The following is a 15,233-nucleotide window of genomic DNA, read 5'->3' on the forward strand; positions in this document are numbered from 1 at the left end:
GAACTGAGGGTACCTAAATTACCAACATTATGGAAATTAAGTTGGCACAATAACTTAAATTTTATTCTGCATCCTGGAGACCCTCCCAAGAGCAGAGTGGGGAGGGAGTCCTTGTCCTCTCCCTTCCGAAATGCTGAGTCCCAGCTGGAGATCATCCTGATTCCTCTGGGCCTCAGCTCGTCTGAGAAAAGGGAATCCTCTCACCCCATCACTCACTCTCACACTCTGCTACCTATATCTACAACGTCACTATATCTGGTCCAGGGAGCGTCCTGGTGTCAGTTACCACCTCTTGGTGGCCATAAACAGAAAAAGGCTAAACCCTCCAAACTTGTGCACTTAGCAGACTCCGCTTCTACAAAGACCAGCCATATCCAAAGCAGCTCTCTAATGAGGAGTCGGCATGAGAATCGGATTCACACTTCAGAGAAAGGTCAGAGACTCCTGCTGAGGGCACCAGGAAATAGTGGTGCTCTCCAAGATCATGGCGAACCATACGGTGATTTTAATTTAGAGAGGGAAAGAAAAGAAACTCCATTTTCAAAAATAGCCTATTTCGTATGTGTTGACAAGCAGGAAGTGAATGAAGTCAGAAGGTTAATCTCATAGCAGAGCCTGCAAGTCACGACCTGACCACTAGGAGGCGAACGAGGCGTCTCTGAACACAATCCAGGCCTAGGGGTCAAGGGAACCAACCTGGCTTGTGCCAGTGCAGGAAACGCTGGCCTGACACCAAGGACTTAACCCTCATAGCAAGTCAAGAAGGAAAACACTGTGCGGAACTGTTCAATAATTTCCAATAGCCTCTGCTGTGTAACTTCAGAGGAAATTCGAATCCATCTTTAAGTATCAGCTGTTGGGAAAATATAATTAAAAACGAAATCTTCTTCCAACCCAGAAAACCTGTATCCATAGGTAGTAGAAAAAGAAAACACTTTTTTTAATTGAATAAGCATTAAACTACAAGCAATCCACTAAGAGACTGCAAAGACAAGGATAAAATTGTACCCTTTATATATACAAGCAGATATCACCAATTACATACTTGTTTTCAAGATAAGCAATAACTAGTTCCCAAGTATGAGGATCTGACAGCACCATCTGTCAGACACGGTGCATCCCAGATTCACCTGGAAATTGGTGTGACCACCTGTTAGCGAATTGGCTTTATCCAGAGAAAAAACAAACCTCTAATATCTTTATGGCAGGAGGTAATTTTGCAATGTGAAGCAAGATACACCCCCTCCCCACCTCGCCTAGTTAGGGTCCTATCTTCCCACAGAAAATAGAAGATAAGGTTGTTTCCATTTGAAAGACAGGTAGGTTCTCAGGTCCTTGAGAAAGACATTCCCAAGTCGTCAAGCTGATAAACAACCTATCTAGTTTTCAAACGGATTTATATACGGTTTCTTGGGGGTTTTTTTGTTTTTTGTTTTTTGTTTTTTTCTGAGACAGGATCTCACTTTGTCACCCAGGCTGGATTGCAGTGGTGCAATCACAGCTCGCTGCAGTCACTAACTCTCAAGCAAAAGCGATCCTCCCACCTCAGCCTCCCAAATAGCCAGAACTGCAGGTACACAACACCACACCTGGTTAATTTTTGTATTATTTGTAGAGACAGTCTTTCACTGTGTTGCCCAGGCTGGTTTTGAAGTCCTGAGTTCAAGCGATTCCCCTTCCTCAGTCTCCCAAAATGCCGTGATTACAGAAGTGAGCCACCGCCCCTTATTTATACATTTCAAAGAGAAGAGAAAGTACTTACAAGTTTTCTAAATTTAAGAAAAAGGAGGCCAGGAAACTCTCTTCCCTTATGTTCAACTGGGAGAATTAGCCTTATTTTTAATTTCTATTTGTCCTTAAACGGCCTTCTCTCGCAAATAATGGAAATGAGACCTTCTCTCCCTGGCTGACGCAAGGAATGGAGTTACATGTCCAGCAATGCAACTGATACCAATTCATCTTCACCTTATCCAGTTCAACAGGATCTTTCCCCTAACCTGACAACACGCTCAGGTCTCTGCCATAAACCCTCTTCTCCAAGTGCCTCCCCCCGCCCTCCCCCCCGTTAGTTGTCACCTCCTCCCACCCATTGTCTCCTCACAGCGACATATTTCAAGAGTCATTTACACGCTGGGTTGTCACTTCCTCCCCTGGCATTTCCATACACCTCAACCACTGCAGGACACCCTCCAGTGAATTTACTCATTAGCCACTAACAAACACAGCTTGATCACTCCATCATAGGAACTCTCTTCTCCCTGGATACCAAGACACCACGGTCTGTGGGGTCTCTTTTTATTGGATTCTATTTTGTCCCTTTCAAAGGCTCTTTTCCCCTCCGGAACACTTAACTTTCAGTTTTATGCTACCTTCAGACCTCAATACATTTCTCTCCATGAATTTGAAATCATCCAAGAAGATGGCGGGCTTGGGAGTGGAGGAGGGAAGGAGGCCCCATGACAGCAAGACCAAGAGCAACAGGAAGACAAGCCTGCATGAAAAGGGAGGAAGGAAGCCGAACTTCTTTACCTTATAAAGGCAGTTTTCCAGTGTTAGAGGGCAGAATCATCACTAGAAGGTCCTATTTTAAATGCAGGCTCCAGCTGGGCATGGTGGCTCTCACCTATAATCCCAGCAATTTGGGAGGCCAAGGCAGCAGACCACTTGAGTTCAAGACCAGCCTGGCCAACATGGTGAAACCCCATCTCTACTAAAAAAATACAAAAATTAGCCTGGTATGGTGGCACATGCCTGTAATCCCAGCTACTTGAGAGGCTGAGGCAGGGGAATTGTTTGAACCTGGGAGGCGGAGGTTGCAGTGAGCCAAAGTCGTGCCACTACACTCCAGCCTGGGCGACAGAGCAAGAATCCATCAAAATAAAATAAAATAATAAATGCAGGTTGCAAGGCCTTCTTTCAGAGAGCCTGATTCAGAAGATACAGTGAGGTCAGAGATCAATTTAACAATCATTCCAGATGATTCTAATGCCAGGGGTGGGGAGCCAGGCCACACTGAGGAAAGCTGCCACACCTGGTCTGACAGAGGGAGCTGGGGAGGCTGAGTGCAGAGCCCATGAAAGACTAAGCAGCAATGATCTCAGCATCCCTTGGCTTTCCTAACCAGGCAGCTTCTTCTTCCAGCCAGTCTTCTCATCTCAGATGACAATAAGCACAAAATCTTTCAAGTAGCGGAGTTTCAGAGCTAGGCAGGTCCTCTGCCTGGATCCTGGGCCCTGCTGAGCCCTGACCCCCTTTGGATGCTGCTATGGTTTGGATATTTGTCCCCTCCAAATCTCATGTTGAAATGTGATTCCTAATGTTAGACGTGGGGCCTGGTGGGAGGTAATTGGATTGGGCGGGGGTGGGGGGTGGCGGGGTGGATCTCTCACAAATGGTTTAGTTCCACGCCCTTGGTGATAAGTGAGTTCTTGCTTAGTTAGATCATACAAAAATCGGGTTGTTTAAAAGAATCTGGGACCTCTCCCTTCTAATAATATCTGTCCCTCTTGCTCCTGCTCTTGCCATATGACATACTGGCTTCCCTTCACCTTCCGTTATGATTGGAAACTTCCTGAGGCCTTCACCAGAAGCAAATGCTGGCACCACACTTCCGGTACAGCCTGCAGAACCGTGAGCCAATTAAACCTCTTTTTAAAAAATAAATTACCCAGTCTCAAGCATTTATTTATAGCAATGCAAGAACAGCCTAATAAAGGCCTCAATACCATTTCAGAAGTCATCTGAGAGCCCCTCCCATCAGAGACCCAGAGGCCTAGGAGGAAATAATGGTTTCATAGGCCAGGCCCAGGGCCCCACTGCCCTGCACATTCTCAGGACACGGCTTCCCTCATCCTTGCCACTCCAGCTCCTTCCTTGGCACAAAGGGGCCCAGGTACAGCTTGGGCCACCACTCCTGAGGGCACAAGCCTTAAGCCTTGGTGGCTTCCACATGGTGTTAAGTCTGCAGATGCTCAGAATGCAAGTGTGAAGAAGGCTTGTCAGCTTCCACCTAGATTTCAGAGGACATATGGAAAAGCCTGAGTATCCAGGAAGAAGTGTGCCACAGGGGCAGAGCCCCCACAGAGAAACTCTACTAGAGTGGTGCCAAGGGGAAATGTGGGTTTGGAGCCCACACAGAGAGTTGCCACCAGAGCACTGCCTAGTAGAGCTGTGGGAAGTGGGCTACTGCCCTCCAGACCCCAAAATGGTAGCTTCATGCAGCTTATGCCCTCTGCCTGGAAAAGCTGCAAGCACTCAACTCCAACCCATGAGAGCAGACATGAGGGCTGCACTCTCCAAAGCCACAGCGGCAGGGCTGCCCAAGGCTTTGGGATCCCATCCCTCACACCAGAATGCAGCACATGGAGTCAAGAATTATGTTGGAGCTTTAATACATAATGCCTTCCCTGCTGGGTTTCAGACCTGTATGGGGCCTATTACCCCTTTATTTTGGTCAATTTCTCTCTTTTGGAACAGGAATGTATACTCAACGCCTGTACCCCCATTGTGTCTTGGGAGTAAGTAACTTCTTTTTGATCTCACAGGTTCATGGGCAGAAGGAGCTTATCTCCAGATGAGACTTTGGGCTTTGAGACTTGGGACTTTTGAGTTAATACTGGAATGAGTTGAGACTTTGGGGGACTACTGTGAAGGTATGAATATATATTGAAATGTGAGAAGGACCTGAGATTTGTGGGACCAGGAGTGAAATGATATGGTTTGGATGGGAAATGGTCAGGTGTCCTCATATAGCCCTTAATTTTTAGCAATAAAATATTAGGATGCACAGGGCACAGTGCTTCACGCCTGTAATCTCAACACTTTGGGAGGCCGAGGCGGGCAGATTGCTTGAGCTCAGGGGTTCAAGACCAGCTACTCAGGAGGCTGAGGCAGGAGAATTGCTTGAACCTGGAGGCAGAGGTTGCAGCGAGCCAAGGTTGCACTCCTCGACCTTACATGGAGAACACAAGAAGAAAAAGTCAGGAGTTCACAGGAGTTGTGTTATCTATTTTTAGAACATAATTAGAGATCACCTAGCCTACTCCTTTGCTTCCCTGAAGCTCAGAGAAGTGAGGTAGCTGCAATGCCTTCCATGTCACGAGACGGGTTGGTGACGAAGCTGGGCAAGGAAGCCTGTCCCAGACTCCCACAGCAGAGTCAGAGACCAGTGATCCCTGGAGTACATACTGAGGCCCTTCCTCCCACTGTCCCACCCACTATTGGATAGAATAACTTTCCAAAGGTCAAGAAGCTGGTGAGAAACAGAGCTGGGGTTCAAACTAAGGTTTCTCTGACTCTGGCTCTGCTGTGCTTAAAGAGCAGCAGATTGGAAACCCCAGGTGTAGCCCCAGCAACACTTGAGGAGGAGAGGTAGAGGCCAGGCCTAGATGGAGCCCTGGCTCAGTGGCCGGGGGAGGAAGCGGTCCATGGTCAAGGAACACCGGCCACCAGGTCAAAGCAGGACATCCTCTTCTTATGAATCTTCCTCGGGTCCCCGAGACACTGCACAAGAGAAGCTCCAGCCAAATGCACACCTTTATTCCTAAACAGAAAGGCAGAGCTGCCTGCTCCTCCATCTCTCTATGTAGATCTCCCACTAAGGATGTCATGGAGCCCAACCTAGTTATGAACATCCATGCTACAGGGAGGACAGATTCATCTGCTCAGGCTGCCATTGCAAAATACCATAGACTGAGTGGCTTACACAATGGAAAATTCTCTCTCACGGTTCTGGAACCTGGAAGTCCAAGATCAATGTGCCAGCACGGTCAGGTCTGGTGAGGGCTCTTGTCGTAGCTTGTAGAAGGCCACCTTCTCACTGTGTCCTCTGGTGGAGACAGTGAGAGCTCTGGAGACAACAAGCTCTCTGGAGTCCCTTCCTATAAGGGCACTGATCCCATCATGAGAGCCCCGCCCTCGTGACGTCATCTAACTCCAGTTACCTCCCAAAGGCCTAATTTCTAAATACTGTCACTCTACTGTGAGGGATTCAGTATGAATTTGGAGGAGACATACACATTCAGACCACAACAAAGGGGAAACCAAATGCAGCCCTGTGCTGTTGGTTGCAGGGCTGGTAGCTGGAAACCCAGATCTTTTTCTTCTTCTTTTTTTTTTTTTTTTTTTTTTTTTTTTGAGGCAGAGTCTTGCTCTGTCACCCAGGCTGGAGGGCAATGGCACGATCTCAGCTCACTGCAACCTCCACCTCCTCGGTTTAAGCGATTCTCCTGCCTCAGCCTCCTGAGTAGCTGGGATTACAGGCACGCACCACCACGCCCAGCTAAGGGTTTTCGTACTTTTTAGTAGAGGCGGTGTTTCACCATGTTGGCCAGGCTGGTCTCGAACTTCTGACCTCAAGTGGTCCACCCACTTCGGCCTCCCAAAGTGTTGGGATTACAGACGTGAGCCACTGCACCCGGCCGCAACCCAGATGTTAAAGTTGGAGAGAACTGGAGAACAAATGCAAGGCGCAGGAATGGCATGAGAACTGGCAGTCCTCATCGATGCAGGACCCATCCTACTGAAACCCGGCGCTGCAGGTCACCCGCGTCAGCCGCATTAGCAGTGGCCACAAGCTCAAACAGCCACCCTGGAGCTGTCCCTGCCAGATGCCTGTGGCCCCCACCCGTGCTCTGCCAACTCACCATCGGCTCCTCCCGGTTGTAGGCTATTTCTTCCTGCTCTGTTAACTCGGACTACACAAGGAGAAGGCTCAGGCGGAAACTGTTTCTCAATGTATAACCGCAGGGCGGCAGCAGAGAGCAGCAATAAAGATGCACTATTTTCTCAGCGATTTTGAAGCTGGTTTTTATTGGTGGTGGCTTTTTGTTCATTTAAGTACAGCACAGAGGTTAAGACTGCAAACATCATAGCTAGACTGCCCTGGGTGCAAACCCTAGGGCTGTCACTTACCAGTGGTGTGTCAGGGGCAAGTAACTGAACCTGTGCTTCAAATTCCTATTGTTAAAATAGGGATAATAATAGTCAACCTCACCGCGTTGTTGTAAATCACCTAAGACATGTGAAGCACCTGGCTGGGACTTCGCACTCAGAAAGCCGGAGCTTGTGTTCGTATACGAAACTGTTCCGGGATGGCCTCCAGAGAACTTCACATTCAGGTTTCCCAAGCCTCCCGCATCCAAACAGGCCTGGTCCGAGAGTCCCTGGGAAGGGCTCAGATCGGCCCCCCAGGTGCAGTTACTTTGGCTCAGCCGGCGCCTCTCTATGGAACTAACAGCAGGAAAAACACTTCTTCAAGCAGAAGATGCCTGGGCCTGAGGGGTCACACTGAGGGACTCTGGGTCAATTAAGGCAGTCGGAGCTGGGGGGCAGGGTTTAGAGAGAACAGAGTCCCCTCCACTCTCAGGCTGACCCCAAGCCACCTCTGTCCTGGTTCTCAAAGTGCAGCAGCACCAGCCTCCCGAGGGGGTGGGGTGGGGGCTTGTTAGACCTGCACCTTCTGGGGCTCCATCCTGGACCTGCTCAGAAACTCTGGGGGCGAGCCCTCCTGGTGATTCTGATGCAGCTAACGTTTGACAGCCACTGCAGTAAATAGATGGAGACTCCTGATTTTGGATGGGAAATGGTCAGGTGTCCTCATATAGCCCTTAATTTTTAGTAACAAAAATATTAGGATGCACAGGGCACAGTGCTTCACGCCTGTAATCTCAACACCCTGGGAGGCCAAGGCGGGCAGATTGCTTGAGCTCAGGAGTTCAAGACCAGCCTGGGCAACATGGTAAAACCCTGTTGTATTAGTTTGTTTTCATACTGTTATAAAGAACTGCCCAAGACTGGGTAATTTAAAAGGGAACGAGGTTTACTTGACTCAGTTCAGCATGGCTGGGGAGGCCTCAGGAAACTTACGATTATGGCAGAAGGTGAAGGAGAAGCAAGGCACCATCTTCACCAGACAGCAGGAAGCAGAAGTGCAGAGAGAAGGTGGAGAAGAGTCCCCTATAAAACCATCAGCTCTCGTGACAACTCACTATCATGAGAACAGCATGTGGGAAACTGCCCCCAAGATTCAATTACCTCCACCTGGTCTCTCCCTTGTCACATAGGGATTATGGGAATTACAATTCAAGCTGAGATTTGGGTGGGGACACAAAGCCTAACCATATTACCCATCTCTACAAAAAATTTAAAAATTAGCCAGGCATGGTGTTCCCGCTACTCAGGAGGCTTTTAAATTTTTTTAATTTAAAAATTAGCTGGGTGCACCTGTGGTCCCAGCTACTTGAGAGGCTGAGATGTGAGGATCACTTTAGCTCAGCAGGTCAAGGCTGCAGTGAGCCGTGATTGCACCACTGCACTCCAGCCTGGGTACAGAGTGAGACCCTGTCTGTCTGTCTGTCTGTCTGTCTGTCTCTCTCTCTCTCTCTTGCTTTTAAATGTATATAAAGAGAAAGGGAGAGATATCAGGATACTTGATACACAAAGGGCAAGAGGCAGGTAGGGAGAGGAAGGCCAGGTGCCAAAATAATGGAATACCTAGATCTTCCAAAAATTCCTGGTGAGTTCAGGATGGAAAATTTCAAATCAGAAGTGTCTAGAAGAAAACTGGGGCATCCATTGCTAGAACACACAAAAGCACAACAATTATTACACAAGGCAAGAAGTGTTTCATATGAGATGGTCACAGTCACTTCAGCCTGGGGCAACCAGTGAAGACACAAGCCTTTTCTGTTCTCATACTACTTGATATTTCAATAGCTTTTGTTTCTCTTTGTTCTTCAGGGGTAAGCAGGATAATGCAATTAGAATAGCACATGGTTTAGATCTGTGTTGTCCAATTCAATAGCAATTAGCCCATGTGGCTATTAATCACCTGCAATGTACCTATCCCAAATTCAGTTGTGCTGTAAGACTAAACTACATACCAGATTTTGAAGGTTTAGTAAGAGAAAAAGTAATGTAAAAGACATAATTAATATTTTTATATTGATGATGTGGTAAAATGTTTTTAATATATTAGGTTAAATAAAATGTTACATATTACATTAATTTTATTTATTTGTTTTTACTTCTTAAATGTAGCTACTAGAAAATTTTAATTATATATGTGGCTTGTATTGTATTTTTATTGGGTAGAACTGATTTAGAGTAAAGGAAAACAAAAAAAGAATTCACACCCTAGTACTGCTGTGTGTCCTTAGTCAAGTCTCTCAACCTCTCTGTTCCTCTGTAAAATTGAGATAACTTTCATTATATTTTACTCATCTACTTCAGTAACAGAATTTTCATGACATTTGAATGTGATTGTGGATGTGAAAATAATTGTGAAGTGTAAAGAATGACTTAAATTTTAATTAATATCAGTCAGTAACAGGCCATGTGTTTATTTCCATTCCTCCCTTCCACCCACCAGTTGATGACATTATTCTGGAACATTCTCTCCCTGCCTCATTCATCTCAAAAGAAATGACAAGGCACATAAAGATACTCCAGGCCTTGGCAGTGAGACTCAGGAGAAGGCATTCTGCAGCTACCCCCAAATACCCTCCTTCTCTGGCTCATGGCCCTTTAGGTGCAAAATCTGGCAGCCTCCTCAGCCCCCATGTTCTCTGCCCTGCTCCCTCCTTCCCCTGAGACAATGAGCAGAGTCCATTTTTTACCTAAATTGGGTGGGAAGGGAATGAGAAAATCAGGAAATACAGAGGATTTTTTAAAAGACACTATCTCAGTATTTTCTTTTTTTTTTTTTTTTTTTTTTTTTTTTTTTTTTTTTTTTCAGAAAAATGTGTATAAAGATACTGCACTGGGTTGAATAGTGTCACCCCCACAAAAATCTGTCTATCAGCGATCTCAGAATGTGGCCTTTTTTGGAAATAGGGTCTTTGCAGATATAATTAAACTAAAATGAGGTCTGACAAAGAGTTTCTCCTTAACCAAACTTTAGTCAGGCTCCTCTTAATCGTCTTTCCAACTAGGCTTTGACTTTTGGACTTCCATATCTGTCCTGCATTATCCAAATTTTATGAAGAATCCTGCTAAGTCAGTTTAGCCAGAACCCCCACCCTCATTATCTGCGCACCCTCAATGTCTGACCAAATTCCTCATTCCCACCACCCCCCGAGGTGCTGTGTGATCACTTTGGCCTGCCCTCAGCAAGAATCCTGTTGGGTCCGTGTATTAGTCTGTTTTCACGCTGCCGATAAAGACATACCCGAGACTGGGAAGAAAAAGATGTTTAATTGGACTTACAGTTCCACATTACTGGGGAGGCCTCAGACTCATGGTGGGAGGTAAAAGGCACTTCTTACATGGTGGTGGCAAGACAAAATGAGGAACATGCAAAAGTGGAAACCCCTGATAAAATCATCAGATCTCATGAGACTTACTCAATACCATGAGAACACTGTGAGGGAATCCACCCCCAGGGTTCAAATTATCTCCCACCAGGTCCCTCCCACAACACGTGGGAATTATAGGAGTACAATTCAAGATGAGATTTGGGTGGGGACACAGAGCCAAACCATATCATTCTGCCCCTGGCGCCTCCAAATCTCATGTTCTCACATTTCAAAACCAATCATGCCTTCCCAACAGTCCCCCAAAGTCTTAACTCATTTCAGCATTAACCCCAAAGCCCACAGTCCAAAGTCTCATCTGAGACAGGGCAAGTCCCTTCCACCTATGATCCTGCAAAATCAAAAGCAAGCTAGTTACTTCCTAGATACAGTGGGGGTACAAGTATTGGGTAAATACAGCCATTCCAAATGGGAGAAATTGGCCAAAACAAAGGGGTTACAGGGCCCATGCAAGTCTGAAATCCAGCAGGGAAGTCAAATTTTGAAGCTCCAAAATTATCTCCTTTGACTCCAGGTCTCACAACAGGTCAGCTGATGCAAGAGGTGGTTTCCAATGGCCTTGAGCAGCTCCGCTTCTGTGGCTTTGCAGGGTATAGCCTCCCTCCTGGCCGCTTTCATGGGCTGGTCAGTTGAGTGTCTGCAGCTTTTCCAGGCGCACAGTGCAAGCTGTCAGTGGATCTAATATTCTGGGGTCTGGAGGACGATGGCCCTCTTCTCACAGCTCCATGAGGCAATGCCCAAGTAGAGACTCTGTGTGGGGGCTCCAACCCCACATTTCCCTTCCGCACTCCATGAGTGTCCCACGCCTGCAGCAAACTTCTCCCTGGGCATCCAGGCATTTGCATACATCTTCTGAAATCTAGGCAGAGGTTCCCAAACCCCAGTTCTTGACTTCTGTTCACTTACAGGCTCAACACCATGTGGAATCTGCCAAGGGTTGGGGCTTGCACCCTCTGAAGCCATGACCTGAGCTCTATGTTGGCCCCTTTCAGCCACAGCTGGAGCTGCTGGGATTCAGGGCACCAAGTCCCTAGGCTGCACAAAGCACGGTGCAGCCCATGAAATCATTTTCTCCTAGGCCCCTGGGAAGACATCCGACATGCCCTGGAGACATTTTCCCCATTGTCTTGGGGATTAACATTTGACTCCTTGTTACTTATGCAAATTTCTGCAGCTGGCTTGAATTTCACCTCAGAAGATGGGTTTTTCTTTTCTATCACATTGTCAGGCTGCAAATTTTCAAAACTTTTATGCTTCGTTTCCCTTATAAAACGAATGCCTTTAACAGCACCCAAGTCACCTCTTGAATGCTTTGCTGCTTAGAAATTTCTTCCACCAGATACCCTAAATCATCTCCCTCAATTTCAAAGTTCCACCAATCTCTAGGGCAGGGGCAAAATGCTGCCGGTCTCTTTGCTAAAACGTAACAAGAACCACCTTTGCTCCAGTTCCTAACAAGTTCCTCATCTCCATCTGAGACTGCCTCAGCCTGGACCTTATTGTCCATATCGCTATCAGGCTTTTGGTTAAAGCCATTCAACAAGTCTCTAAGAAGTTCCAAACTTTCCCACATTTTCGTGTCTTCTTCTGAGCCCTCCAAACTGTTCCAACCTCTGCCTGTTACCCAGTTCCAAAGTCGCTTCCACATTGTTGGATATCTTTTCAGCAATGCCCCACTCTACTAGTACTAATTTACTATATTAGTCCATTTTCACACTGCTGATAAAGACATACCCAAGACTGGGAAGAAAAAGAAGTTTAATTGGACTTACTGTTGCACATGGCTGGGGAGACCTCATAATCATGCGGGAGGTGAAATGCACTTCTTACAAGGTGGCGGCAAGAGAACATGAAGAAGATGCAAAAGCAGAAATCCCTGATAAAACCATCAGATCTGGTGAGATTTATTCACTAAGATAACACCATGGGGGAGACTGCCCCATCCATGATTCAAATTATCTCCCACCAGGTCCCTCCCACAACACATGGGAATTATGGGAGTACAATTCAAGATGAGATTTCAGTGGGGACACAGCCAAACCCTATCAGTCTGTTTAGTAAGAATTCCCCTGATGTTTCCTCTAAACAATTTTCCATCCACCAACCCCACTACTCTGTTACTTGACTTACTTACTCTGTTACTGTCACTACTCTTGTTGTATTTGGAGTTGAGCCTAATCTCTCTCCTCTACTGCAAAACCCCACTTTAGGGGTCCCTATGCCTATGGCAATGGTCCTGTATAAAGCCTTCCATACCATTCTTTAATAAGGGTCTTGAATAAATTTTTCTTTAACAGGACATCCTGAGTGAAAGTGGGCCCTAATCCAATGACTGGTGTTCTTACAGAAGAGCAGATGGAAATACAGAGACCCTCAGAGAAGAGAAGGCCATGTAAAGATGGAGGCAGAGGTTGGAGTGATGCGTACAAGCCCAGGAACACCAAGGATGCCGGCATCCACCAGAAGCCAGGAAGAGGCAAGGAAGTATTCGCCCCTAGAGCCTATAGAGCAGTGGTCCCCAACATTTTTGGCACCAGGGACCAGTTTCCTGGAAGACAATTTTTCCACGGATGTTGGGGGAATGGTTTCGGGATGATTCCAGTGCATTACATTTATTGTGCACTTTATTTCTATTATTAACACATTGTAATATATAATTAAATAATTATACAACTCACCATAAGGTAGAATCAGTGGGAGCCCTGAGCTGATTTTCCTGCAACTAGACAGTCCCATCTTGAGGTGATGGGAGACAGTGACAGATCGTCAGGCATTAGCTTCTCATAAGGAGCACACAACCTAGAGCCCTCAAATGCACAGTTCACAAGAGGATTCATGCTCCTATGAGAATCTAATGCCTCCACCGATCTGACAGGAAGTGGAGTTCAGGTGCTAATGTGAGTGATGGGGAGTGGCTGTAAATATACATGAAGCTTCACTCACTCGCCCACCACTCACCTCCTGCTGTGCAGCCCATTTCTTGCAGGCCACAGACTGCAGAGTCCTCCAGAGGATCCAGTATCTCAGGGAGGGGGTCATGGGAGGAAATAGGGAGTCCGGGGCACAGAGGCTAAAATAATCTTTGAAAATGTATTGTTAAGAAACAGATCAGATCTTCAGATATCCCTTACTCCATAGCTGGAGACTGCCCCTCCCTTACTTGAGCAGAAGACAGAGTCACTAGGCTGGGGATCACCCGGCACAACTGTGAACAATGGTATCAAACTGAAAATAAAGGAATAGGCCAGGCACAGTGGCTCACGCCTGTAATCCCAGCACTTTGGGAGGTCAAGGCAGGAGGATTGCTCAGGAGTTCGAGACCAGCGTGGCCAACATCGTGAAACTCCCAACTCTACTAAAAATATAAAAATTAGCCGGGTGCAGTGGTGTGCTCCTGTAGTCCCAGCTACTCAGGAGGCTGAGGTGGGAGAATTGCTTGAGCCCAGGAGGCAGAGGTTGCAGTCAGCTGAGATCATGCCATTGCACTCCAGCCTGGGCAACAGGTGTGAAACCCTGTCTTGAAAAAAGAAAAGAAATGAAAAGAAAGGAATAAGTGATCATTTACACTTGAAAGGCTACTTCCATCCAGCCCAGCTTTTACTGGGTTCCCAAACGGCAGGCAGCCAGGATTTTGCCTTCCAGGCAGAAGACTGGAAGATTCCTCCCTGGGGACTCAGTTTAAGAAAAAGACCAACTGATACAGACATCTGGTTTCCCTGAGACATCTGATTTCCCCAAGGAAACAGCGGGGCAGATGGTTTGAAACCCTTAGCAGAGGTTTCAGCCCTAGGTGCAGACAGGAATCCACTGGGGAGCTTTAAAAAAAAAAAAACTGATGCCTGGGGTCCACCCCACAATTCTGGTTTAATTGTTCTGTGGTAAGGTCATTGAGAAGTTCAAAAGCACTAGATGATTCTAATCTCAACCAAGTTGGGCACCACTGGCCGTTGGTGAAGCTCACTGTTAATAAGCATTGCTCATCTGCTCAGTACTCCTGATATGCTTTTTAACACCCCTCTCCAAAGTGGGAGCAGACAAGGATCACCAGACATTTCAGAAACAGACAGAGACCAAAACAAACCAAAAAAGCAGATTGGGAGGAATGCATGCAGAAAGAAGAAAGTATATATTGTATTTTTTTCATCATTGACATCCTCAGAGAAATAGAAGAAAAATTATTGCAATAATAACAAGATGATATTTTTAAATGAACACTGAGAGAACATAAAAAGAACTCTTAGAAATTCAAACTCTGATGGGAGAAATAAAAAATCCAATAGAGGGATTAGAAGATGAAATTGAGGCAGCTTCCTAAAAAGTAAAGCAAAAAGCCAAAAGATGAAAAATAGGAGAGAAACAAGACTTTTAGAGCAGCTGTTCAGTAAGCCTAACATCTGAATGAAACAAGTTCCAAAATAAAAGAACACACACATTTTTAAAAATGGAGAGGAAATCATCAACAAAATAATTCAAGAAAATATTCCATACTTAAGATATGAGTTTCCAGATCTAAGAGCCCATCAAGTTCCTAACACAAAGGGAGGAAGTTGGGTTCACAATAAAACATATTTTCAGGACATTTCAGAACATTCAAACAATGTACAAATCCAGAGAGAAGAACAAAAGTTACTTTAAAAAGACCATATGTGAGAATGACTTTAAACTACAACCACACAGGAAACTAGAAGTAATCCCTTCCTAAATTTTGAGGGAAAATTATTTCCAACCTAGAATTCTATACCAAGCTTGAAGGTAGAATAAGGACATTTTCAGATAAAGTGGTTTTTTTTTTAATGCTTCCCTTGTTTTCATTACCAGAAAGCTGTAAGAGGGTGTGACATACCAAAGTTAAAAGAAATCCAAGAGGAAGACATTGGACACTAGGAAAAGGAGATTTATGTAGACCAGAGACAGAGGAAT

At 45.9% G+C, this 15,233-nt stretch overlaps 2 annotated features.

Annotated features, from left to right (window-relative positions):
• Positions 12,992-13,804: an enhancer, noted in NCBI's record as "OCT4-NANOG-H3K27ac hESC enhancer chr8:130844878-130845690 (GRCh37/hg19 assembly coordinates)". NCBI's record gives its function as "activates a minimal SCP1, AML or CMV promoter by ChIP-STARR-seq in naive and primed H9 embryonic stem cells {active_cell/tissue: H9 hESC(naive and primed)}" and the evidence as "EXISTENCE:reporter gene assay evidence [ECO:0000049][PMID:30033119]".
• Positions 13,805-14,616: an enhancer, noted in NCBI's record as "OCT4-NANOG-H3K27ac hESC enhancer chr8:130845691-130846502 (GRCh37/hg19 assembly coordinates)". NCBI's record gives its function as "activates a minimal SCP1, AML or CMV promoter by ChIP-STARR-seq in naive H9 embryonic stem cells {active_cell/tissue: H9 hESC(naive)}" and the evidence as "EXISTENCE:reporter gene assay evidence [ECO:0000049][PMID:30033119]".

The sequence above is a fragment of the Homo sapiens genome, chromosome 8, assembly GCF_000001405.40.
Source record: "Homo sapiens chromosome 8, GRCh38.p14 Primary Assembly".
Classification (NCBI taxonomy): domain Eukaryota; kingdom Metazoa; phylum Chordata; class Mammalia; order Primates; family Hominidae; genus Homo; species Homo sapiens.